Source organism: Homo sapiens, chromosome 3 (assembly GCF_000001405.40).
Source record: "Homo sapiens chromosome 3, GRCh38.p14 Primary Assembly".
Lineage (NCBI taxonomy): Eukaryota > Metazoa > Chordata > Mammalia > Primates > Hominidae > Homo > Homo sapiens.
Window position 1 is genome coordinate 149,026,648 of NC_000003.12, and position 24,288 is coordinate 149,050,935.

General features: G+C 34.7%; 2 protein-coding genes across 14 annotated transcripts in view; one reads left to right on the forward strand and one right to left on the reverse strand.

Annotated features, from left to right (window-relative positions):
• GYG1 (glycogenin 1) overlaps window positions 1-5,128 on the forward strand; it is a 40,236-nt gene extending 35,108 nt beyond the window's left edge. For all 5 annotated transcript variants that reach the window (NM_004130.4, NM_001184720.2, NM_001184721.2 and 2 more), the window contains one exon: window positions 113-5,128. In NM_004130.4, coding sequence (NP_004121.2) covers window positions 113-286 — 174 coding nt within the window. In that variant the 3' untranslated portion in view covers window positions 287-5,128. The remainder of the gene's footprint in view (window positions 1-112) is intronic.
• Window positions 3,416-24,288, reverse strand: part of HLTF (helicase like transcription factor) — a 56,471-nt gene continuing 35,598 nt past the window's right edge. For 2 of the 9 annotated variants that reach the window (XM_017007079.3, NM_139048.3), the window contains exons 15-26: window positions 23,585-23,728; window positions 22,216-22,354; window positions 21,381-21,516; window positions 19,433-19,612; window positions 15,519-15,643; window positions 14,843-15,021; window positions 13,384-13,509; window positions 12,934-13,046; window positions 12,402-12,582; window positions 8,271-8,351; window positions 5,554-5,725; window positions 3,480-4,716 (exon numbers count right to left, since the gene is read on the reverse strand). In XM_017007079.3, coding sequence (XP_016862568.1) covers window positions 5,573-5,725; window positions 8,271-8,351; window positions 12,402-12,582; window positions 12,934-13,046; window positions 13,384-13,509; window positions 14,843-15,021; window positions 15,519-15,643; window positions 19,433-19,612; window positions 21,381-21,516; window positions 22,216-22,354; window positions 23,585-23,728 — 1,557 coding nt within the window. In that variant the 3' untranslated portion in view covers window positions 3,480-4,716; window positions 5,554-5,572. Of the gene's footprint in view, window positions 5,726-8,270; window positions 8,352-12,401; window positions 12,583-12,933; window positions 13,047-13,383; window positions 13,510-14,842; window positions 15,034-15,518; window positions 15,644-19,432; window positions 19,613-21,380; window positions 21,517-22,215; window positions 22,355-23,584; window positions 23,729-24,288 lie in introns of all 9 variants that reach the window. The other 7 variants (XM_017007078.2, XM_011513092.3, NM_001318934.2 and 4 more) reach the window with 4 other exon arrangements.

Genomic DNA, 24,288 nt, shown 5'->3' on the forward strand with positions numbered 1-24,288 from the left:
TTTGCTACTTTGCATGATGATTCATCCTGGCTTTTCTGTCTTCAATTTATTGCATTCTTTAAAACAGTTTGATTTTCAGCTCTCATAGAGTCAATTATGCTTTCCTTTCTAGGAAGATGTCTCAGGAGCCATATCACATCTGTCCCTTGGGGAGATCCCAGCTATGGCACAGCCGTTTGTATCCTCGGAAGAACGGAAGGAACGATGGGAACAGGGCCAGGCTGATTATATGGGAGCAGATTCCTTTGACAACATCAAGAGGAAACTTGACACTTACCTCCAGTAGAAACACTGCATTTTTCTGTGAACACATCCACTTCACAAGCCTTGTTTCTGATACTTAGTATCTAGAGCTGGGTTGAGAAAAGTCTGTTACAGTTGCTAGAGGTTTTCATTAAAACTTATCAGATGAGAGGCTTTTTTAGGATAAGAGGTGAGAACTGGGCAAAAGTTGTGAAGCAGCAATTCTGTTATATGGACAGTGTTCTGCTTTTTAATCCTATTTAGCTTGTTTCAGAAATTCTCACTTTTGTTGACTGCCAACATACAAAGTAAGGGAAACTCAAGATATTAAGATGGCTGTATCAGTTCTTAAAATCTGCAGAGCCTGGTTCAAAATCAGTCACTCCCTTCAGAAGCAGACATGGCATCTGTTCCTTGCTTGCTTGTTGGTTGTGTACCTTTCACGAGACCTGAATTTTAGAATTGCCCAGTGCTGCCAGAGTGAGTGAGTGTAATTCTCCTTTCAGGTAAAGATAGGCTATCTCAACACTGCTGAGTGATTCATAAACATATCAACCAATAGCATTAACCCATTTTATTTCCTGTCCTTAGTGTCTGAAGATGCTCACCAGTTTTCTGTGTACAGTAAGGCAGCATGCTAAAATGCTTTTGTTCAGTTCTGTATATTTGAAAATAGCAGTGTGTTCTCTGATGGTTACCTGCAGTGGCACCCTGTACAAAAAATAAAAGACTTATTGCTGTATCTTGGTTGTTTAATTAAATTAAGGAATTTCACCATACACCCTTGAACAAATCTATTAGGGAATTTTTCACAATTTTTGGAATTTGTCATAGTTTTAAAAAAGTGTAAAGCTTGACATTGGGATATATGCTTTAAAAACTGGTATCTATGATTTCAATCTAATTGTTTTTCTGTGATGGTGATGGATCTGACAGATCAGAACAAACCGAGATCAAACTTACATAGTGTCATCCACACTGCACCTCTCTATTAAGTGGGTATTTAGCTATTTAGAATATTTTAACCTTAAAGTCATTCCTAACTGTCAGAATCAATACTGGGTCCAGTCCCTACTAGTATTTTATCTATGATTTAAAATGATAGAATGGAAAAGCGTATTTATTAAATTTATAGATCATTCTAGGTTGTAAGAGATGGCAAGCTAAAGAAGGGTAGGATCCAAGATGACCTTTTAAAACTAAAATGAGTGGTCAGAAATGATTCTATGGAAGAAAACAGGACAGTTAACCATGACAGGAAGAAACTTTAGAGGTTTGATTGGGCAAAAGCTGCAAAGCTTTTGTGACTTAGCCTTCAAAGTCACCCTCCTTATTCATATTGATGTGAATTAATATACAAGCATATAGACAGCTTAAGTCAAGAATGGTTGGGGCCACCTTGAAGGCTGTTACCATAGGAGCTCAATAAGAACCTGAGGATTTACCTAGAATTATAAAATATTAAATGATAAATGACTTCTGAAACTAGCTATTTGGACTGGTGAAGAATGAGTCGCTATTGATCTTCAAGTACAATGAAGCATTTACCAAAGATTTATTTAAGTGCCTCCATGTGTCAGATGCTGTGGTACAAAGAAGGACTTCTCAAAATTTTAGCTAGTCAGAGGTCTTTCTGGCTTCCGAGTCCCTGGTTAAGATGAACAGAAACACAGTCTTCAGATATAAAATGTCTTATTTTTGTGGCCATTCAGTTGCATTCAACGTTAATTTTTTCTATTTACTACCGTTCATTCTCTATTTTTTACACAGTAGCATAACAAAGCTCTAAGGTGGAAAAGCTGACATAGTTTTAAATTTTTTTTTTTTTTTTTTTTTTTCTTGAGGCAGAGTCTTGCTCTGTCAGTCAGTCACCAGGCTGGAGTGCAGTGGTGCAGTCTCGGCTCACTGCAACCTCTGCCTCCTGGATTCAAGAGATTCTCCTACCTCAGCCTCCTGAGTAGCTGGGACTACAGGCACGCACCACCACGCCCAGCTAAATTTTGTATTTTTAGTAGAGACAGGTTTCACCATGTTGCCAGGATGGTCTCAATCTCTTGACCTCGTGATCCACCGGCCTTGGCCTCCCAAAGTGCTGGGATTACAGGCGTGAGCCACTGCACCCAGCAAATTTTTAAATTTCAAATAAGTAGTGAAGGCTATTATTAACTTTTGGAATCAGAAAGAATGACAAGCTTACCATAAGACATAGCATATAATGCTGTCAAGTTATTTGGCTAGAAAATCACTGAACTAAACATTCTTTTCCTTCTATGATCTATGTCTTAAGGTGAAGTATTAACTAACTTTTCCATGTAAAGCTATACAAATATTGGAAAATCTTTTCTAGGGAGTCCAGAATACTAAGGGTTACTTAGTAAAATGTATAAAAAGGCAACAGTAATTCAAATTACAAGATTTATATTTGCAGAGGTGATCCATATATACTTATCCCCTTGCAGTGGCTGGTATGACCTTTGGTTGTAAGACAAACTTGCCCACAACAGAGGTCAAATCCATGCCTTTGGAGATTAGCTCCATGGTGGATGGAGCTATGGTTTATGCATAAAGTAAATGTTTGTTTACCTTAATTCTCCTTATACCCATATTGTCCTGCTGTATAACACATTTTGCAGATATTTTGAAGTTAATGTGTTAAAAACTTGAGGTTAAACATTTGAGTTTTTGTTAAGAGCCAAACATCAAATGTGCCCTTATATTTTTAATGAATCTCATCCAAATGCTAATGCATAAACCTTGACAAGTAGTATAAATAAAACAAGAAAAAAATACAGCAATGTCTTTGCCATTCCCCAAAACAAAGCACACACTGCCGAAGATCATTAGTACTCACTGGTAACAAACTACATAGGGTTAGTTTGTATTTCCAATTCTAGAGCTGTAATTTTAAGGACAAAATGTACAATGATTGATTAAGAGTGCTATCTGTGTATATATAGGTATTATCACAACTCCTTTTTTTCTTCCAGATGAAGAAATTAATTGGGACCAATGTTTTTAGATCAAGGCATTTTAAATAAGCACTCTTGATTTCTGAACAAGAATTTCAACCAGCTAAATTGAGCAAAATAAAGTTAGTTAGGATATGAGGACATTATTCTGTTACAGTAATCTTCATGTACTCTCAAAAAAATGTAACACTTGCATAGAAATGTCACAATTAATGAAGGATTTTATTTGAAGATAAAGTCAAAATTATGGCACCGAGGAAGGTAATAAACATTTGAAATTTTTATTGATTTTTAAATTTAAAATCCAGTTTTAACCACAAAATTGTTTGAATCACAAGTGGTAATACAATGTCTTCAATATTTTTCTAAAGTTATTTTTCTATATAATAATAAGACAACAGCATAGCATATAGGAAGTTTTCATTCCAGTGGCTTTTTTATATATTTATCCTTCTTAGGAAGGACAAATTAAATTTTTTAAATTAAACTTTTAAAATATAACAACATCTAACAGAACTGTACAAAACAAAGAGACATTTTTTAAACAACTTGCCAAACTTACTTATGAGTGTGTTTTAAAAACAACTTTGTAAATGTCTGGGCAAAGAAGCAAGCTGTCCTCCCTTTACCTTCATAGTGAGTTTGTAAGGCTTTGTCTTTGTAAGCAGAAAGAGTAGACTGTGTTGTTTTTTGCCAAAAACTGTTTATACTTAATCTCACTGAAGTATTGCTATATGGAGAACCCATACTCTGATCAACTTGATTTTTTGTGTGTAATGCTTGATCTACCAGGTAACTTCCCAACTGCTCCTAATGCTAGCGGGCTAATCCCACATTATTATTCCACTATCATCCCTGCAGAAAGGTCTTGGTTTTGATGAAAATCAGCCCTTTCCTTACCTGCTACTGCCTCAAAAAGGGACCAGGAAGATTCTAGCTGGCTAATTCACTGTTCCCTTTGAGCAAGAAAACGGCACAGGGAGAAAAGGACTTATCTGGTGAGAGATTTGGCATATACCTTCAATGTGTGCCCTATAACACAACATTGTCTCCGATCTCATCTTTCTATCAAATGACTTCCAACACTCTTAAGTCTCAGGTATTCTTAAATCTGTATCATCAAACATGAAGCTTCTCTTGTTTGTTAGAGTAATTAATCTTTCTTTGGATTAAAGTTTCCCTTTGAAATAAAACCACCTACCTAATCTGACTGCTAAATTTCTAGCTTCTTTGTTTTAAATATGCTCAGGAGTCAACCCAAATTCTGCAGCAAATAAGTTTGCTTATTAACAAAAAAGTAAAAAAAAAAGAAAAGAAAAAAGATGACTAATTCTACAGATAGCTGTAAGGATGAATTACTCAAGTTCAAAATCAAATTCTGATTCTAAACACATAACAATTGTTTACATTCAGGATTAAGATGTCTTTAAGAGTTGAAACGACTTTGGAGATCATCCAGCCCAACTTCCATCCAGATATCACGCCTCTCACATATAGTAGTCTTCTGAATTATAAAAATTTATAAAGTTACTTCCAAAAAAAGCTACATAAATAAAAATTATCTATTTATAGAAATATCTATTTAGCAGTTCCATAATTTAAAATATTCAAATCAAATTGGGTAGGACTGGTTTGCCTCTCACTCCCACAGACTATATTTATACCTCAGACACAGCAAGTTACATTTAAACAATGAGTGTAGTACTACTTAACTAAAATGGAAAAAATAGTACTCTTAACATAATCCCTAATTTTTTCATGAACATAAAACTCCAAGTCATTTATGTGAACTATATCTCAATGTAGCTGTAGGAAAAATAAAAACCTGTGCTAACCTGGACTTTGGTCTCATTTAAGATTTGGTTCTGGAATGCAAATATGGTTTTTGAAAGCCCAATAAAATTAATTCTTGTATAGTCTGTATATATTGTTTACAAGGACTACAAACACTGCATCACAAATCGGAGGCTTTGGTAAATAACTAAGTGTCCAACATAGAAAATAACTATTTGGTCAAAAGTATAAAAGGTCTGACCTTATTTGAAATACGAAAAAGCTGAGTACTTGGAAGATACGTGAAAATACTCAGCATAGATATTATGAAAAGCTGAATAACAAAGTAACCTTTTTTCTCAAATTATTTCAGGCCACAGTATATAACGGAACTTATTGCTATTTGAAGTTTCATTAAAAATAGGTTCATATATAGAAGAAATTGTGTCAGTAATACCTCTTCACTAATATAAAATATGCCCCTTTTAGAAGACGTGTTCTCTAGATCTCATTTCTAAAACTCTGTATTTTTCTCATTTCTAAAACTTAAGTATCCAATCAAACTGACCTTACTAAAATCCCACAAATTATAAGTCAATTAATGTTCTGATTTCATTAATTTTGGCTTGTTTCATTTCGTCAGCATTTGGTTTTTTAGTTCCAAAGGCTCCTGCTGCAAGTTCTCTCTTTTTGTTTTGTATTTTCAGCATATTTTCTTCAACAGAGTCCTTTACAATGAACTTTAAAAAGAAAAAAAAAAGTTAAGTAGTTTTTAAGGCATAGTATTTAAAATCTTTATTAAAAAAACTAAATGAAAGATTTGCCTAATGGCAAAAACCGCAATTACTTTTGCACCAAACTATAATAACTATTTAATAGAACTGAACTTTGCTTTCCTTACCCAATATGGTTTTCTTATATAAAGAATATGGCTGTACGAATAGAAGTTACAGATCACAAGATAAGCAAAGCAATAAAGAAAAAAAAAGCAAACTATATAGGCAACTCTGGCAAAATGACTTCAGCATTGTATTAAAAAGGCCATTCTGGCCGGGCACGGTGGCTCACACCTGTAATCCCAGCACTTTGGGAGGCCGAGGCGGGCAGATCATGAGGTCAGGAGATCGAGACCATCCTGGCTAACACGGTGAAATGCCATCTCTACTAAAAAATAGAAAAAGTTAGCCGGGCATGGTGGTGGGCGCCTGTAGTCCCAGCTACTCGGGAGGCTGAGGCAGGAGAATGGTGTGAACCCGGGAGGCGGAGCTTGCAGTAAGCCGACATTGCGCCACTGCACTCCAGCCTGGGTGACAGAGCGACGTCTCAAAAAAAAAAAAAAAAAAAACAAAAAACTATTCCCAGAAATTCAAGAATGAATCTTTAGTATAATTCACAACACTAACAAAGAGAAAAATAAAACGTGATCATCTCATTCCTGATAAAAACTTGATTTTAAAATACCCCAACTAGGAATGAATGTCTCAACCTTACATATTTAATGTGAAACAATAAAAGTATTCTACAACAAAACAGAAACAAGTCAAGAATGGTCACTATCTGCTACTATTTAACATTGTTTAAGAAGACCCAATTACTGCAATAACTAAAGCTATATAATAAAATTTTACTGAAATACATATAAGATCTACATAAATGGAGAAAGGATACTATGTTCCTGTATGGAAACATTCGTTACTTATAAAGAAAGATAGTTCTCGAAAGTAATAATAAATTCAATAAATCTCAAGATATCTTAAATGGGATTTTATAACTAAAATCTAAAGTTCAATTCAAGAGCAATAATAATAACCACCAATACAATTTTCAAAAAGGGTCATCAGAACATTTTACCCTATCAGGTATCAAAACTTACTTTAGGAAACCATAGTTGTTATAAGAGTAATACTGCCCTAAGAAAAGGAAAAGAGATCAATGGAACAGAATAGTCTAGAAAAAGACCCAAGTAATATATATAAATTAGTTTATGATGAAAGTGACATTTCATACTAGTAGGGAAAAAGTTGGAATTTTCAAAGAAAAAAAATGATGTGACAGAACAAATCGTTCTTCATCTGATAAAATAATAAGCTTAGACTCATGTCACAAATCATAAAACAAAAAATAAAATCTTCCAAAAGAACCAGAAGTAAATACAGAATAGTTGAAAAAATGTGAAAATAAAGCCTTCTGTCCTAGGTAAGACCTTAAAACCTAGAACGTATAAAAAAGGCTGACGTTTTAAATCATAAAAATTTTAAAGCTTTTTCATGACCAAAAAAATGCAGTTTAAAGACAAGGAAGAGTATGGGATAAACCATTTTCAACATACATAAACAAAAGATTTCAAGTCAGACTGTATCAGGGAGTCCTTTATACTATAAAACTATTTGTACCATAACTATGAGAACTGGACAGAAGATATAAATAATTCACAGAAAAAATGTTAATAAACAAGATATGTGAAATATACTCAAGGTTTTAGGTAAATGCAAATTAGAACAGCACTTTTTTGGCCACAGAAGCATAAATTAACAATTTTCATATAAATCCTATTTTGAAACCAACTCGATAGTTGATAAAAATTCTAAATCCAGAATTCTAGTTTTCTTAACTTATCCCAAAGAATTACTTGCATCTATGTGAAAAGATTTATATATAATAATGCTCATTATGGCACTGTTTTTATTAGCAAAAAACTTAATGGGTTAAATATATTACGATATATCTATATGGTTTTGTAGAGTAGTCAAATTCAGAGAAAGAAAGTAGAATGGTAGTTGCCAGGGGCTGGGGGGAGAGGAATGGGAAGTTATTATTTAATGGATACACAGTTTCAGTTTAAGATGATGAAAAAGTTCTGGAGATGGATGATTGTGATGGCTGTTGCACAACAACATGAATGTACTTAATGCATCTAAACTGTATACTTCAAAATGGTAAATTTTGTATTTTACCACTATTTAAAAAAAGTGTTCATCTAAATGTACTTATGAGGTAGTCTCCAATGTATAGTTTTAAGGGAAACAAATATGTTGTAGAATAAAGTATAATTCCATTTATCTTTAAAAGAATGTTTTTAAGGAGATGTACACATAACTATAAATGTAGGTGCAGAGAAAGGCCCCTTAAACAGCATATATTAAATTATTGATGAAGGAGGAAAAAGGTGACTTATATTTTGCTCTGCATAATTACACTCAATCATAATAATATATTCATGCATTACTTGCTTAATTGTAAAAATCGTATCAACCTAGTCTTAAAATAGTTTGTTTAAAAACTCACTTTTGTGATGATAACTTCTTGCTTCTGACCAAGTCTATGGCATCTGTCAAAGCACTGATCTTCAGCAGCAGGATTCCAGGCCTAACAAGAACATGGATGAGTTACTTTACTACTGCCCTGATCTTTCAGTGTTTTGCATTTGTCCTTTCATTTCACTAGTATTCATTCATCTTTTTCTGACTGAAAGTTTTCTGCCTGAAGTCAGATACTAACATCACAAATACTCTGGGGAAAAATCCACCCTCCCAATCACTATGATGATAGGCATCCTCCCCCTACTACTACTTCTAATACCTAATACAGGCCCCGACATATGTATCAGCACCCAAAATAAGTATTTGTTGATTAATCAATTTGGTTTTTTTTTTCATTTTTAAAAGAATCTATGTGTGCTTAACAGCAGAAAAAGGTTATACATCCTCTTAAATGACTTAATTTATATGAGAAAAGACACAATTCTTGGGCCTATTTAGTTTTCTCCCCCTTTTCTGGTTTTCTTTCACTTTCCTCTGTTCATGAAATAAAAGTATAAAAAAAGGGTTTCTCCTGGCTAACACAGTGAAACCCCGTCTCTACTAAAAATAGAAAAAATTAGCCGGGAGAGGTGGCGGGCGCCTGTAGTCCCAGCTACTCAGGAGGCTGAGGCAGGAGAATGGCCTGAACCCCGGGAGGCGGAGCCTGCAGTGAGCCGAGATCGCGCCACTGCACTCCAGACTGGGCGACAGCGAGACTCCGTCTCAAAAAAAAAAAAAAAAAAAAAAAAAAAGGGGGTTTTAAGAGTCAGTAAGTCCTAAAAATTATTTTTTTGTTGATGCTATTTTCTGTATCAGTATTTGACGTTAGTTTGACTTTAAAGCTGAGCTAAAAAAAGTACCATTAGCTAATTAACACAGACATGATCATGAGAACTGTTTTAAGCTAAAAAATAAAATGATGGGTCCGGCACAGTGGCTCACGCCTGTAATCCCAGCACTTTGGGAGGCCGAGGCAGGCAGATCACGAGTTCAGGAGATCGAGACCATCCTGGCTAACACGGTGAAACCCCATCTCTACTAAAAATACAAAAAATTAGCCGGGCGTGGTGGCAGGCGCCTGTAGTCCCAGCTACTCGGGAGGCTGAGGCAGGAGAATGGCGTGAACCCAGGAGGCGGAGCTGGCAGTGAGCCGAGATCGCGCCACTGCACTCCAGCCTGGGCGACAGAGCGAGACTACATCTCAAAAAAAAACAAAAAACAAAAAACACAACAACAGCAATAAAATGGTGCAACAATGAAAAGGGAAGAATAACCAAAAAGATATAGACCCCTGGTAAGTGGTTTTTAAATAGTATCATGAATTGTTTGGATAAGGATCATTAAATTTTAAATTAAAACTATGAGGTTTTTTTTTTGAGATGGAGTCTCGCTCTGTCACCAGGCTGGAGTGCAGTGGCACGATCTCAGCTCAGTGCAACCTCCACCTCCTGGGTTCAAGCGATTCTCCTGCCTCAGCCTCCCAAGTAGCTGGGATTACAGGCGCTTGCCACCATGCCCCGCTAATTTTTGTATTTTTAGTAGAGACGGGGTTTCACCATGTTGGCCAAGATGGTCTCAATCTCTTGACCTCATGATCCGCCCACCTCGGCCTCCCACAAAGTGCTGGGATTACAGGCATGAGCCTCCGCGCCAGGCCATATTACCCCAATACTTATACAATGTTCAATGAAAAGGTAAAAGAAAGCTGGGCACAGTGCCATATGCCTGTAATCCCAGCTACTCAAGAGGCTGAGGGAGGATTGCTTGAGCTCAGGAGTTTGAGACCAGCCTGGGCAAAAGAGGAAGACCCTGTCTCTTAAAAAAAGAAAAAAAAATTTAATGGTAAAAGACTTTCATGAGCAAATTTTTATTTTTTTATTGAATCATTATGTTTCTCGGACCTGACTTTTAAGTTAGAAACAACATTGGAAAGCTTGATATGTTCAATGAAGAACACTCAACTTACTATAAAACTGCTAAAACGTTCTGTAAATTTTTAAAAACTGTTAACACGTTTAGTCTCTGATCAACTTTTTCATACTAATTATTTTGGTATTAACCTCTTTGGTACTAAGATTATAAGCAAGAAAAATAAAATTTGGGATTTGTTCTAAAAATCAGCTTCTAGAATTATCACTGGATTAATTAATATTCAACAATCTATAGTTACAAATATTTTTTATAGTAGCCATAAAATACTGCAAACAAAGATTTCAAACTTCATCCACAGTACAAAGGCAAGAAAATACAACAGACCGGCTGGGCGCGGTGGCTCATGCCTGTAATCCCAGCACTTTGGGAGGCTGAGGCAGGTGGATCATGAGGTCAGGAGTTCAAGACCAGCCTGGCCAACATGGTAAAACCCCGTCTCTACTAAAAATGCAAAAATTAGCCACGCGTGGTGGCAGGTGCCTGTAATCCCAGCTACTCAGGAGGCTGAGGCAGTGAACCGCTTGAACCCAGGAGGTGGAGGTTGCAGTGAGCCAAGATTGTGCCACCACACTCCAGCATGGGCGACAGAGCAAGACTCTGTCTCAAAAAAAAAAAAAAAAGAAAAAAGAAAATACAACAGACCATACCATATCCATGATATTCACCCATGAAGGCCTAAGTATGATGACCCTAGTTATAATCTTACTGAGAAGGATACCGTCAGTTGAGGGAGGAAAAAGGAAGCCTGAGTAAACATATATGCATCAACAAGGTAGCCTCACCCAAGTAACTAAAATTTATATCTCAGTAGTATTCCTACATGTATCTCAGTAGAATTCCTACATGTTAAAAATCTTCTGAGTTTCAGGTAACAAGTTACAACCACAAATCTTAAGTCTGAATGCACAGAAACAGCAGAGGGTTGCCTTTAGCCCACATAGTACCCAGTGCAAATTAGAAACTGAATTAGTCCAAGGTCCTCTCAGGCCAAACAGCCCCTTTGTACACGTAGAAAAACACGCTCCTATGTGAATGCACGTCCAGGTCACACAGCTTGGTGAGTAAAGTTCAAAGTGAATTTTAGCCTCTGTTCTACCTTCATGCCTGTACTACACAACCACAACTGACTGCACTATATTAGGCATTAAAACGTACTCAGAACATTCCATTAATGATAATTTGTTTCTCAAATTGTGATCCTAGACCACCTGTACCTCAATCACCTATGATATATGCTAAAAATGCAGCTTCCTGGGTCTAATCCTAGAACTCCTAAGTCTCTACGTTGAATGCAAAGGAAATTGCATTTTACCTAATTCTTATGCACATTAAAGCTTAAGACTACTAGAACCGTGATGGTAATCATTTTGTCTATCTTGTTTATAGTTAGATTCCCAGTGCCTATAAAAACTGACGCAAAGCAGGATCTCATTATTTGCTGGCTGAATGAACCACTACCCTAAAAAGCATTACAGTTAATATTTATTATAGAAGAAAAGTAGAATAGCATAGCATAATAGTACTTAAATATTTACATGGACTATGATTCTGGTTTTGCCTATTACTAACTGTATGATACTGGGCACATTATTTACTTTTCTGTGCTTCAGTTGCCTCTTCAGTAAAACAGAGCATTTTTTTTCTTTTTTTTCTTTCAGAGACGGGTTCTTGCTCTGTCACCCAGGCTGGAGTGCAGTGACAGGAGCATGGCTCACTGAAACTTCAACCTCCTGGGCCCAAGCAATCAATCTTTCCGACTTAGCCCTGCAAGTAGCTGGGACTACAAGCACAAACCACTACACCAGAGTAACTTTTCTGGTACTTTTTTTTGTAGAGATGGGGTTTTGCCATGTTGCCTAGGCTGCTCTCAAACTCCTGAGCTCAGGCAATCCATTCACCTTGGCCTCCCAAAGTGCTGGGATTACAGGCATGTGCCACAGCACCTGGCCAAAACAGAGCATTTAATAATGGTATCTACCTCATAAGGATGTTGTGAGGATTTCAGTAAAGTGCTTAAGAGAAAGCTCTTAATCCACATTTACTAAGTTTTTGTTATTTATTTCTAAAGTTTGCCTAAGAATTTTCACAGTTAATTATAACTATGAAGGTATTTACCAAATAGTTTTTTGTCTTATTTTTTTGAAAGAAGTACTAAGATTCTGAAAAAATTTACAGAACTACTTACTGGATCCATTAAAAACACTCGAGAAGCTGCAGACAGATTCAAACCAACTCCACCTGCTTTTAAGGACAGAAGCATTATAGTTGGAGATCCTGCTTCAGTGTTTTGAAAACACTGAATTGATTCAACTCTTTTCTTTTGGGCCATGGAACCATCCAAACGAGTAAACACAAATCCAGAGGCTCTAAAGGGGGGAAGAAAAGAGACAAGTAACAAACACTATTATTATAAAAATAAAACAAAGTTAAGTAACTACAAATCTCTTCAATAAATTCTTTCACTCATTTATTTTAACAAATGTTTATTGAACACTTATTAATATGCTAGGCACTGAGTCAGTCATTTTCTGATAAATTCAGGACTTAATCTTTAAATTCTTGTGCTGCCAGGAAGTATTCTCTATTGTGACTCTGAATATCTTTCAGATAAAATGACTAAAACTGGCAAAACAAATTAAGTTTTTTTTTTTGCTATCCAAATCAATATGATTATATAAAATCCTTTTACTGAAAGTGAAAAACACTGTGGAACTTACTTAAGTGGTATTTCTATTAAAGACAGGAATGTTGTAAACTGAGAAACAACCAAACTTTTTATGTTGGGATTCTTCTTTCTTAAGTCAGTCAATGCGTGCATTAGCGCATTAATCTGCAAAAAATATTAAGATGTCCATTAGATTCCATTTTAAATCAGTAAAATTAGTCTAAAAGTTTTTATCATAAAGAAAAGGTCCTGAAATGTTATTTCCCTAAAATGCAAAAGACTACTCATTTAAAACAAAAAATTAAGACTGAAAGAACACTCTAATAATCTGAACCCATTCCATTTCCCCTCAAATTCACCACTAAAAATAAAAAGCCAGTGGTCAACAACAGAACACTAAAATGACAGGAATGAAAGCAGAATTACGATTTTGATATACTGTGTATATTTCCTTATATAAAGGTAAAACAAATACTCAAATATTTGCACATGAGTACTTTACCTTTGAACTGGATGTCCATTCCATATCAGACTTTTTCTCACTGTCACGTGCTAATTCTTCTGGAGGACATTCTAATAAATTATCTTCATGTATATCATTTCTGCATAAAGGGCATTTAGCATGTGGCTATATAAGAAAGAACGAAGTATGAGCAACACTTAACAGAAGAACAAATATAAATATGCCTAAAAATTTTTAAATGTATGCTAAAATCTGTATCTCTCATAGCTAACATTTTATTAAACCTTTTAATGGATTTCATCCATTTAAGAGACATCTGAACATGCTGAACTCCAGACATAATGTGGTAAGTAGAACGGATAAAGGAGGGAGCAAAAGTATGTGATCTGGACTAGCTAGAAGCAAGAGCAAGAAACCAAAAATTATAACATTGTAAGCAAGTTTAAAAAAAAAATCTATGAATAACAATTTATTGAACCTAAATACAATACAGCTACACTATTTAGTACTATTCTTTAAAAAAAAATCCATCTTAATGGCTTATAAAGCTATTAAGCTTATAAAGCTTATAATAGCTTATAAAGCTACTAGGATCTGTTAAATCCTATCAAGTTCATTCCAAAGCAACATCTGTTGTACCCGTTTGAACCTGTTAATAAAATAAGATTATATCTTAAATAACTATATATAAAACACCATTACAATTAAATAATTCTGAAGCTAAAATTATTTAAAAGTCAATACAGTGGGGTTACTTTTGGGGAAGAGGGAGAGGGTAAATGGTTGGGAGGGGCCACAAGGGGACCTAGGCAGCAGATACAGGAATATGTTTACCTCATAATTGACTGAGCTATTTAATTATGAATTTATACATTTTTTCTACATATGTTATATATCAATTTAAAATGTTTAAAAAAATTCTACCCCAGCTGAATGACTGCTTAACAGACTAGTCAACTTCAAAAAAATTCTACCACACAAAAGAATCTAGACCTACCTTATCCAACACAATAGCCAATAATCACATGGGGCAATTACGTCCTTGAAATGTGGCTAAGCCAAATTGAGGTGTGCTGTAAGTATACACCACCACCAAATTCTGAAGATTTAGTTTTTTGTAAAAAGCACATTAATACTTTTTATATTTTAGATATATTGGGTTAAATACAAATGTATTAAAATTAGCTTAATGTTTCTTTTTACTTAAGAGTATGACTACTAGAAAACTGAAAATTATCTTTGTGTCTCACATTATCAATCCATTTATTGAACAGCAATGATATAAACAGCGGAATTAAGATATTGACTGTGAACATCTTTTTATGTTGCAAATGTTGCATTAGAAGAAATATATCACCTATTAAAATACTGGAATAATTAACTATCAAAGGTATATTATTAAATCCAAGTGCAAAACTCCATATACTATCTTTTATTATATTAAAGACAGGTACACTACTCTATCAAACACTGAACCTGTACTGAGCAAAAAACTAACCTGCTCATTCTGAATGACTTGGCAAATACAGGGTTTACAAAATACATGTGCACAATGTGTTATCACAGGAACTGTTAAAGAATCCAGGCAAATTGCACATTCCTCATCTGAACCTGAGCTCAGAATTAACTTCATCTTCCTTATTAACTTCTTTCTCAGTTCTTCAGGTGTATCATTTCCTAGAGAAAAGGCTGAAAAATTAATTTCAGAGCAAGGTTTGTAATATGACAAGTTAATCTATCTTATAAGGAAAAGTTTCGCTTGCCAGTAGGGAAAGTCTCTCATCATTTTCTGCCATAGGCAAAAAGCATAATTTAAATTTGAAATTTAAGAAACATTCAGAAGCCAAAATAGTAGCCAACTCACATAATATACCTCATAGAGAAGCATCATTATAACATGACAATAACATACCACCACACAATAAAAGGCAGATCCAATATGAATCTTTCATCAAAGGGTATCTATCACCGGAATTCCTGGAAAGACCTCATTATAATTCCATTTCATTGGTAAAAAAATTATTGGATGTATTCCTAGCTGAGTCTCACACTAAAAGCAATCTCCATTTGACAGAACAAAATAAACTAAATGTATGCCACATAAAAAAAATTTATCACTCTTATTTAAGTATCTCTGACAAATACAATGATATGAAGCAATCAAATTTACCTACCTGAGGGGCCATTGGAAGACACTGCATTTGTAAGAAGGTAAGTATGGCAACAAATTTGCCGCAGTCTAAGCAAAAGACCCAGGACATCTGCATAATGTGCCAGGACAGTCCCTTCATTAAAATACCTAGAGATTAAAATGTCAAATATTATTAAGTCCGCTAAACAATAATAACTTCCTATTCTAAAACAGCAGAGTAAAATGGCATTTTTCTTTTCTTCTCTAGAAATTACTCCAAAACAAGAATGAAAAGCAGAAAAGCAACTCTAATAAAACCAAGAGAGATCTATAACAATAAGGCACAATATATGAGAAATGGCTGCCAATTGCAGTCTAAGTCAGATAGGAAGATGCTGAGAGGGATGACTGCAGATCTCAAACAGAGCTGCCAAAACACAATTCTTTAAAATGGATGGCATGCCCTGAGGGGAAAATCAATACCTCTCATGTGCAGAAACAGGAACAGGGTGCATGCTTGGTGACTTGAGCTTCCATGGAGAAATTTATATCAAAAAAAGAGGGAAGGTAAACTGAATACAGAAACATACAGGTGCACTGTATTTTCAAAAAAAGACTATGGGCACAGCACTCTACACTCCAAGCACCCCTAAAGTTTCTGATCTCTGTTTATGTGTACTAATAAAACCTAAAGTAACTCAACATGTAACCCTGAGTCTTAAGTAAATTGGGTTATTTCCTGCTGGTCGGGGACATGATTGTGACCTTTCCCTTTTGTATATCTGGACTAGCAAATAGCTAGTCCAAGAAGAACTCAAGATATTCAAATATAAGTAATAATCAGCAGAGAGCAAAGGTAGGGGACACATGGCAGTGAAAGAAAACTCAGCAGAAAAATGTTGCCACAGAGCAAATAAAAATTATGACCAAGGATACTGTCACAATTTAACACCACTCAATAAAACAATTCCTCCAAAAAAAAAAAATCTTAAAGCAAAGACAAAGAGCTTTGAAAAAATATGGCAAGAGAACAGGAAGAGATGAAAGATGAGCTGGTATGGCTCAAGAAAGTGAAAGAAAACAGTGAATCATCAGAGAAATGAAAGTCACACTGAAACCAATATAAGCCAATATAAAAAAAGACTAGTCACTGATAAAAACATAGAAAAGGATGTAGGAAACAGGACTGAGAAAATCAAAATTAAACAAAAAAATGTAAAAGATCAGAAATAAAATGATACCTATGGAACACAGATAAAAGACATCTAACATACACAGAGAGAAATAAAATAATGGAACAGAAAACAATATTTAAAGAAAGCTTTCCAGGAAAGAGAAGGGGGGAAAAGCCTGGAATCTAAAGATTTAAATAATATCACATGTCCCAGGGGAAAGTCAACAAAGAAGTTGCTGAACTTCAGAGGGAAAAAAAAAAAAAAAAAAAAAACCAGGCTTCCCCACAGAAACATTCTATACAAAATACAGTGGTACAATGACAACATAGATTCTTAAGGAAATGGGTGATCCAAAAATTATATAACCAGGCCATCTGATATTTAAGTATTTTAAGGCAACAGAAGAAATATAGCCTAACGGCTAAGAGTACAAATTTTTAGAGCTAGCTGGTCATGAATTCAAAACCTGGCTGTGCCAATTTAATTATGTAACCTTGGACAGGTTGCTTAACCTATGTCTTGAGCTTCCTCAGTTCTAACAGTGGCATTGTAAAAGTACCTACCTCATACAACTACTGTTATTTAATTTAATACATGTAAAGTATTTAAAATAGTGCCTGGACTATATTAAGTGCTATACATGAATCTGTTGCTAGTATTAGTACTGGTAGTATTATGGCAACAAACATTTCTGAATATTCAAGAATGCAAGGAATAGGCAAAATAATACAAAGATTAAACTTACAAGCTCTAAACCAAAGTGCCAGAGTTAATCTGTCCTGTCACTCACTAGCTGTGTGACAACAGTGTAAGTCACCTAAACTGCTCTGTGCCTCAGTTTCCTCACTTATAAGATGTGGATAATTATACTGACCTAATAGGATTGCTGTGAATACATTTAAAGCACTAAGATCAATGTATAACACCTAGTGAGTGCTAAATAAATGTTAGTAAATATATAGCCTATTAAAAAGAATACTTTAAAAATAACTTATTTTCTGAGAACAGTTTCAATAAAGTTAATCTTTTTCAACTTTTTCAAATAGAATAACCTTTACTAACACTAATTATTCCCTGGCATGGTCATATCTTACTGATACTCAGCATTTCAATTTAAGAGATCTCTTTTGAGTGCCTACCATGTGCTAAATATTAGAAGCTTCCTTCCTCCTATTTCACCAGCCATTGCTATCTTCACAGTTAGATCTCTTTCACTTTACTCACTCCCTTGGTGATCTCATGGCTTTAATTACCATCCACACATAGCTGACTTTGAACTCGACTCTCCTATCCAACTAATTATTTGATATCTCTACTTGGAAAATTCACGGGCATCCTATGATCAATGTGTCCAAAACTGAGCTTCTGATCTTAGCTTAAAAAAATCTCTGCTCTTCCCATAGACCTGTCTTGGTAAACAGCAATTCCAGCCTTCCACTTATGCAGGTAAAAAGGCTTGAAGTTATCTTTGATTCCTCTTTCACATGCCATAACATATCAACCAGCAAGTTCTGTTGGTTCTACGTTCACAATTTAACAGAATCTAATCATTTCTCACTCCCTTTATCACTACTATGGTAAAAACCACCATCATCTCTTGCTTTGACTGCCACTGGTCTCCCTACTTCTGACCTTATTCCTATTCAAATAACCTAAATCTGAGCACAGCAGCCAGAGTGATCTTTTAAAAATATAAATCAGATTACGTCCCTCTCCTGGCTCAAAACCCTTTAAGGTTTCCTGTCATAAAAAGTAAAAGCCAAAGTCCTTGACATATGCGTTACATACCCCCATTCCAATAAATCTCTGATATCATGACTATTTTCTCTCGTTCATACTATCCAGCCACACTTGCTTCTCTGTTATTCTTCAAGCTCACCAGGCATGTTCCCAACTGGGAGCATCTACACTTGCTCTTCCTTCTGGCTGAAACACCCCTTAATCCCAATCTCCTTTAGATCTTTACCTATATATCATCTTCTCAGTGAGGTCTTCCTTAATACCCTACTAAAACAGCTTTGGCATTCCCCATCCCCTTTCGTTGCTTTATTCCTTAAAACTTAATCATGTTTTTAAATTATCTGTTTCTTCCCATTAAAATATAAATTCCTCGAGTGCAGGCATTTTTGTCTGTTTTATTCTGCTGTATCCCAATGGGTATAAGTGCCTGGCACACAGTGGGCACTTAATAAATTTTTGTTGAAAGAATATGAAAAGAAAGAAGATTTTGAACTCAGAAATCTGCTGCTTAGAACAATCTTTCCCACTCTCTCTAATTCCTATCAAACCTGCTTTGTACCTACCTCACTGAAGTTTTTATGTTTTGAAGATTCCCCTTTCACAGTCCTATTCTGCTTTCACTTGTCTCTTATTCATTCTGTTCCCTGTGGGCTCACATTAAACCTGATCTTGCTTGGACCAGAATTTCATACCTTCTACCAATCCTTAATCTTCTTGTTAAACCTATTTCATCAGTTCCTATTTCCAGATTTCCATACGATTTTGGAAATAGAAGCAAGCAAAATCTTCTGGCTAGCAATTGAGAACTTGTCATTTAAAGTAAGCTTTAAATTATTTCCTAACTTAAAAAATTACTTACCTGGTGAATTATACTATTATTTCATTCACTTTATTGATTTGTAAAAAACACTGTAATTCATAGAAGCAAATTATCTTTCAGTATACTTCAAACTATTGCTAACACATCTAAATAATGTCATTCAGTGAATGGGAAACAAAGTAAACAAAAACTAATTTTTAACATGGTTTTCTTTCTCCATACCTTCCAATAGTGGCTCTGCCTTCATTTTTCACAGACTGATAAATCTTTCTCTCTTCATCTGAAAGTGTAATGTGCTGAATAAATACTTTACGTTCTGGTAACTCCAAAACAGGTTTTCCTTTAATTTTGCTTGTCTTTGTTCTTCTAAGTGTAATATTTTTAATTAGGGACTGTAAACGCCTAATCAGAATAAAACAAATAATTATGTAACTTTTAATTTCTACATAAATTGATCCAAGAAGAACGAAACAGAACATTTTAATTTGTTACTGTTTTATAGCTTCTGTAAAAGTGTTTTTAAAATCCCTTATTTGGGATTTTAACCAATCTGATAATCACAGAAGTATTCTACAAAAATAAAATTATTAAAACAAATGTATGGAAATTTCCCCTCAATACCTAACATAGTTTAATCTTTTTATATCCTGTCCTTATTTTCGTAAGTTCTGTTCCCCATTTTTGTTCCAATCACTAACTCTTTTACTTCTCAACTGTCCTGTCAACTCCATCACCGAATAGTCAACACTCAAATTCTAAGTATCTATTAAGTGCCAGGCACTGAATTAAATGTTGTAAGAATACAAATATGGGTAAGATACTACATTCTGTAATATTAAAATCAAAAGTATATAAATAAGTAATTGTATAAAGTAATGAGTGCCCCCAAAATAAAAAGATAATATGGTAATTCAGAACACAGAAAAATGCTTTACAGGTTCCACAATCTTTACATTTCTTTCTCAGTACTGGAAAAAAAGAGATGTATCAATTCTTGTTTTTTCCCAACATTGAAATATAAATACAATTTCCTGGAGTTTAAATAGTTGGTTTTGAGGAATCAAGTGGATAGTACTGCCAACTAGGTTAGTGGCTCTTGAAGCTTTCTCACTATAACTCACAGTAAGAAACACATTCTATCCAGCAAAAATATACAAACACATACAAAAGAAACAAATATTTCACAAAATAATACTTACTATGTATCATGCACTCCGATATTTACTAATCTCTTCTCTATTTCATTGTCTTTTTAAATGCTGGCTACCACCTTTATAATGATTTTATATCCCACTAATAGCTCTCAAATCTTCAGTCTATAAACCGGTGCTTTAGCCAAAAAGTTGAACCACATTACATCTTGCAAAATGGCTATCACTGAGTTTTAATTTATGTTCTCAACTTTTATCTATCTCCACCAGAAACAACCACATAAAACTTTCCTATACAACTTTTGCTAAGGTCATGGTACCTCACATCATTCACTATATAAAGCTATGTAAGGCCAGGTGTGGTAGCTCATGCCTGTAATCCCAGCACTTTGGGAGGTCGAGGCAAGAGGATAACCTGAGGTCAGAAGTTTGAGACTAGCCTGGCCAACATGGCGAAACCCCATCTCTACTAAAAATACAAAAATTAGCGGGGCATGCTGGCGCAGACCTGTAATCTCAGCTACTTGGGAGGCTGAGACAGGAGAATCGCTTGAACCCAGGAGGCGGAGGTTGCAGTGAGCCAAGATCGCGCCACTGCCCTCCAGCATGGACGACAGAGCAAGACTCCATCTCAAATAAATAAATACATAAATAAATAAATAAAGCTATATAAGATATGAAAACTTAATGCATATTAGATCCTCAAAGGATATACGATGTTTCCTGCTAAATCTGTTAATGCTGGTTTTGGGGCTTTGGGGCTTAGCAACACACAAAAAACAGTTATGTCTTTCCTTTCAGTTTAGCCACAACAGGGGAAGGGTAGTTATCGACAATTAGAAATCTTTGTCTTTCCAAACAAGCATCACTAGGTTCTGAAAGACAAAGGTACTGAGCCATAAACACTTTTTAGAAGGAAAAGTTAAGAGTCAAGTTAAAATAGTAAAGAAAGTGCCAACTGGTTCAAGCTACTAACAGTTATTTGTAACTAATATTAATCACTGTCTGAAAGTACTTACCTAAGTCCTCCTTCATCTCCCATTGTGACAGGACGCTGTATTGTTCTATGCCACCATTCTCTATCAATAAATGGTTTAAGTTTTAAAAAGGAAAGAAGAGACCACAAGTCCTTTAAAGAATTCTGGATTGGAGTACCTAGAAATAACAGGAAACTGTTATAACTCTTTAACCAGAGTATCCAGTAAGAGTATCTATTTGGCCCAATCAGAGAAGACAACAATTGAAAATGGGCACTCTGTACCAGGCTCATCATTATCAATTAAATTAAACTATCAAGTGTTGACTATAATCATTTATTAAAAATATACACATCTCAAGATACAGTTTTGCTCTAATTTTTAGCTCTCACATGACACACTAGCCAAGAAAAAGACTGGAAAATTCAACTTTCTCCTTATCAAGTACATCTGCTTATTTAGTTTTTAAAGCAGCAGCACTAGCAGAAGGAAAAAGCAACTAGTTTAAGTTTACATTCTTTTCCTTACCTTCTAGTAAAGGTACTGTGAATGGCAAACAGGTTTGAGGATGGGAAACAGAAATCAAGATTATGACTGGATGACTAGAGTGTCTACTCCATTTCCACTAGAGTGTCTACTCCATTTCCAAGGTTCAAGAATAAGTCTAGTGACTGTTCCATAAATTATCAATAAGTCAAATGTTGTTATATCACGGGCAATTATGAAGAACAACTCAAAACATTTGATTAAATTATTTATATGATTAATTTTGGGGCAGAATTTACACCCACTTTAAGTTTACAAAGTTACTTTACTAACTTACATAATGATATATTTTAGAGATTTAAGGTTTTAGTAAGTTTAATGCTATGATTACCTGTCAAAACCCATCTTCTTTCTGATTCTAAGTCAAGTACAGCTTTTGTCTGCTGAGCATTTGGATTTCGTATGGCATGTCCTTCATCCAGGATCACTCTTAGCCACCTTATGCTATGTAATGGACTATCTCCTTTAGTCTGAAATAAATGTTTTATATGAATTAAAAAACACAGGAAAGTAAAATAGTACTTAATATGATTTGCTAACTAGTTGTTATCATTATTTAATATCAAATTTACTATGTGCTAGGTACTGCTTTAAGCACTACATTAATTATTGAATACTCACAAGTTTATAAAATAAGTACTTATTAGCACACCTAATTTTACAGATAAGAAAACTGAAGCACAAACTGCTAAGTAAGTATGTTACCCAAAGCACCACAGGTGGCAGAACTAGCATTCAAACCCAAGCAGCAGTCTAGCTCTCTGTTGAGTCACTGGTCAATACACTGAACTGTTCTACCTCGGATTAAAACATAGCAATGATATAGAAAATGGCAGTTGTAAGAATTACTTGAATTCAACATTACTTTCTTTTATATAAAAGGTAATATTTTTACTAGAAGACTGAAATTTTGATAGCAAGGTATTTTTCAAAAAGTTTTAACTTTTGAACAATTGGAATTATAAAGGTAAAAAACAATTAGACTAACTGGAAAACTTATGAACTGTAACTACAAAAAAAGCATACCTTCAAACTGAGATATTAATCAAATCATTGTGATAGAAAACAATTTTCCAGAATATTAAAAAAGAAAATAAAATTCATTTACAAATTGCTTCATATACTTACAATCCAAATTTAAAATCTTAACTTAAAATGTTCTAAATGAAAAATATTCCTGTCTGGGTGTGGTGGCACACGCCTGTAATCCCAGCACTTTGGGAGGCCAAGGTGGGTGGATCACCTGAGGTCAGGAGTTCAAGACCAGCCTGACCAAGATGGTGAAACCTCATCTCTGCTGAATAACAAAAATTAGCTGAGTGTGGTGATGCATGCCTGTAATCCCAGCTACTTGGGAGGCTGAGGCAGGAGAATCATCTGAAACCAGGAGGCAGAGGTTGCAGTGAGCTGAGATCACACCATTATATTCCAGCCTGGGCAACAAGAGCAAAACTCCATCGAGAGGGAGGGGGAGGGGAGGAGTGGAGAAAAGAAAAATACTCCTAAATTAGCATCTAAATAAAATGCAACCCTTTCACGCAAAAAGTCAAAAAAAAAAACCATTTATTTTTCTATATATCGTTAAGTATCTAAAGAGAAAAAAAAAGTATAAAGCCTGAATTTTGGAACACTCTAGAAACCTGTGGCATATTTCTTACATTCAATCTTTAAAAGATCTGTTAAGTATCAACAATACTTACTCCATAGTCATGAGTTAAAATATTATACGTAGTCAAAACAATATCCTGTTTTGAAAGTAAGGCCGGTTCTCTAATACGATCAGGACCATAATAAACATAAAAATTCAAGTGTACATCTGATTTTATATGTTGTCCAAACTGGTCCTAAAGAAAAATTAGGAATATTTTTAACAATGAGCAGATTTGTGTCAGACTTAATAGATGTATAAAAAAGTAACTGCCCTGGCAGTAGTGTGACAAATCCAACTACTAAAATTGTATGAAATCAAGTTTCCTTCAGTCTAGACCAAAATAATAACAATAAGAAAAATGACACATACACAGTAATAATAAATTATTTAAAATTTACTTGGCCCTACCAATCAGCAACTGCTTCATTTTTAGGAGGAAAAACCAAAGTTATTGAAAACAATAATGAGTTTTATAAAAATATTTTAATTAGAAGGCCCTTTAATGCTGCATTAGTTAGCAGACTTAATAATATAAAAATTAAACAGTAAAAGAACAACAACCAATATTTCCAAGGATGTGGGCAGAGATTCAAGCACTGTAGCCACTTTCTTTCACTCATTTATTATTGGCCTACTATTTGCCAGGTATCAACCACAATAGTGATGTAACTAAAAATGAAGAACAAATAATCATCCCTGACTTTCTTGAGGACATGATCAGTTTTAAAAACTTATTATTATTTTTTTAATCAT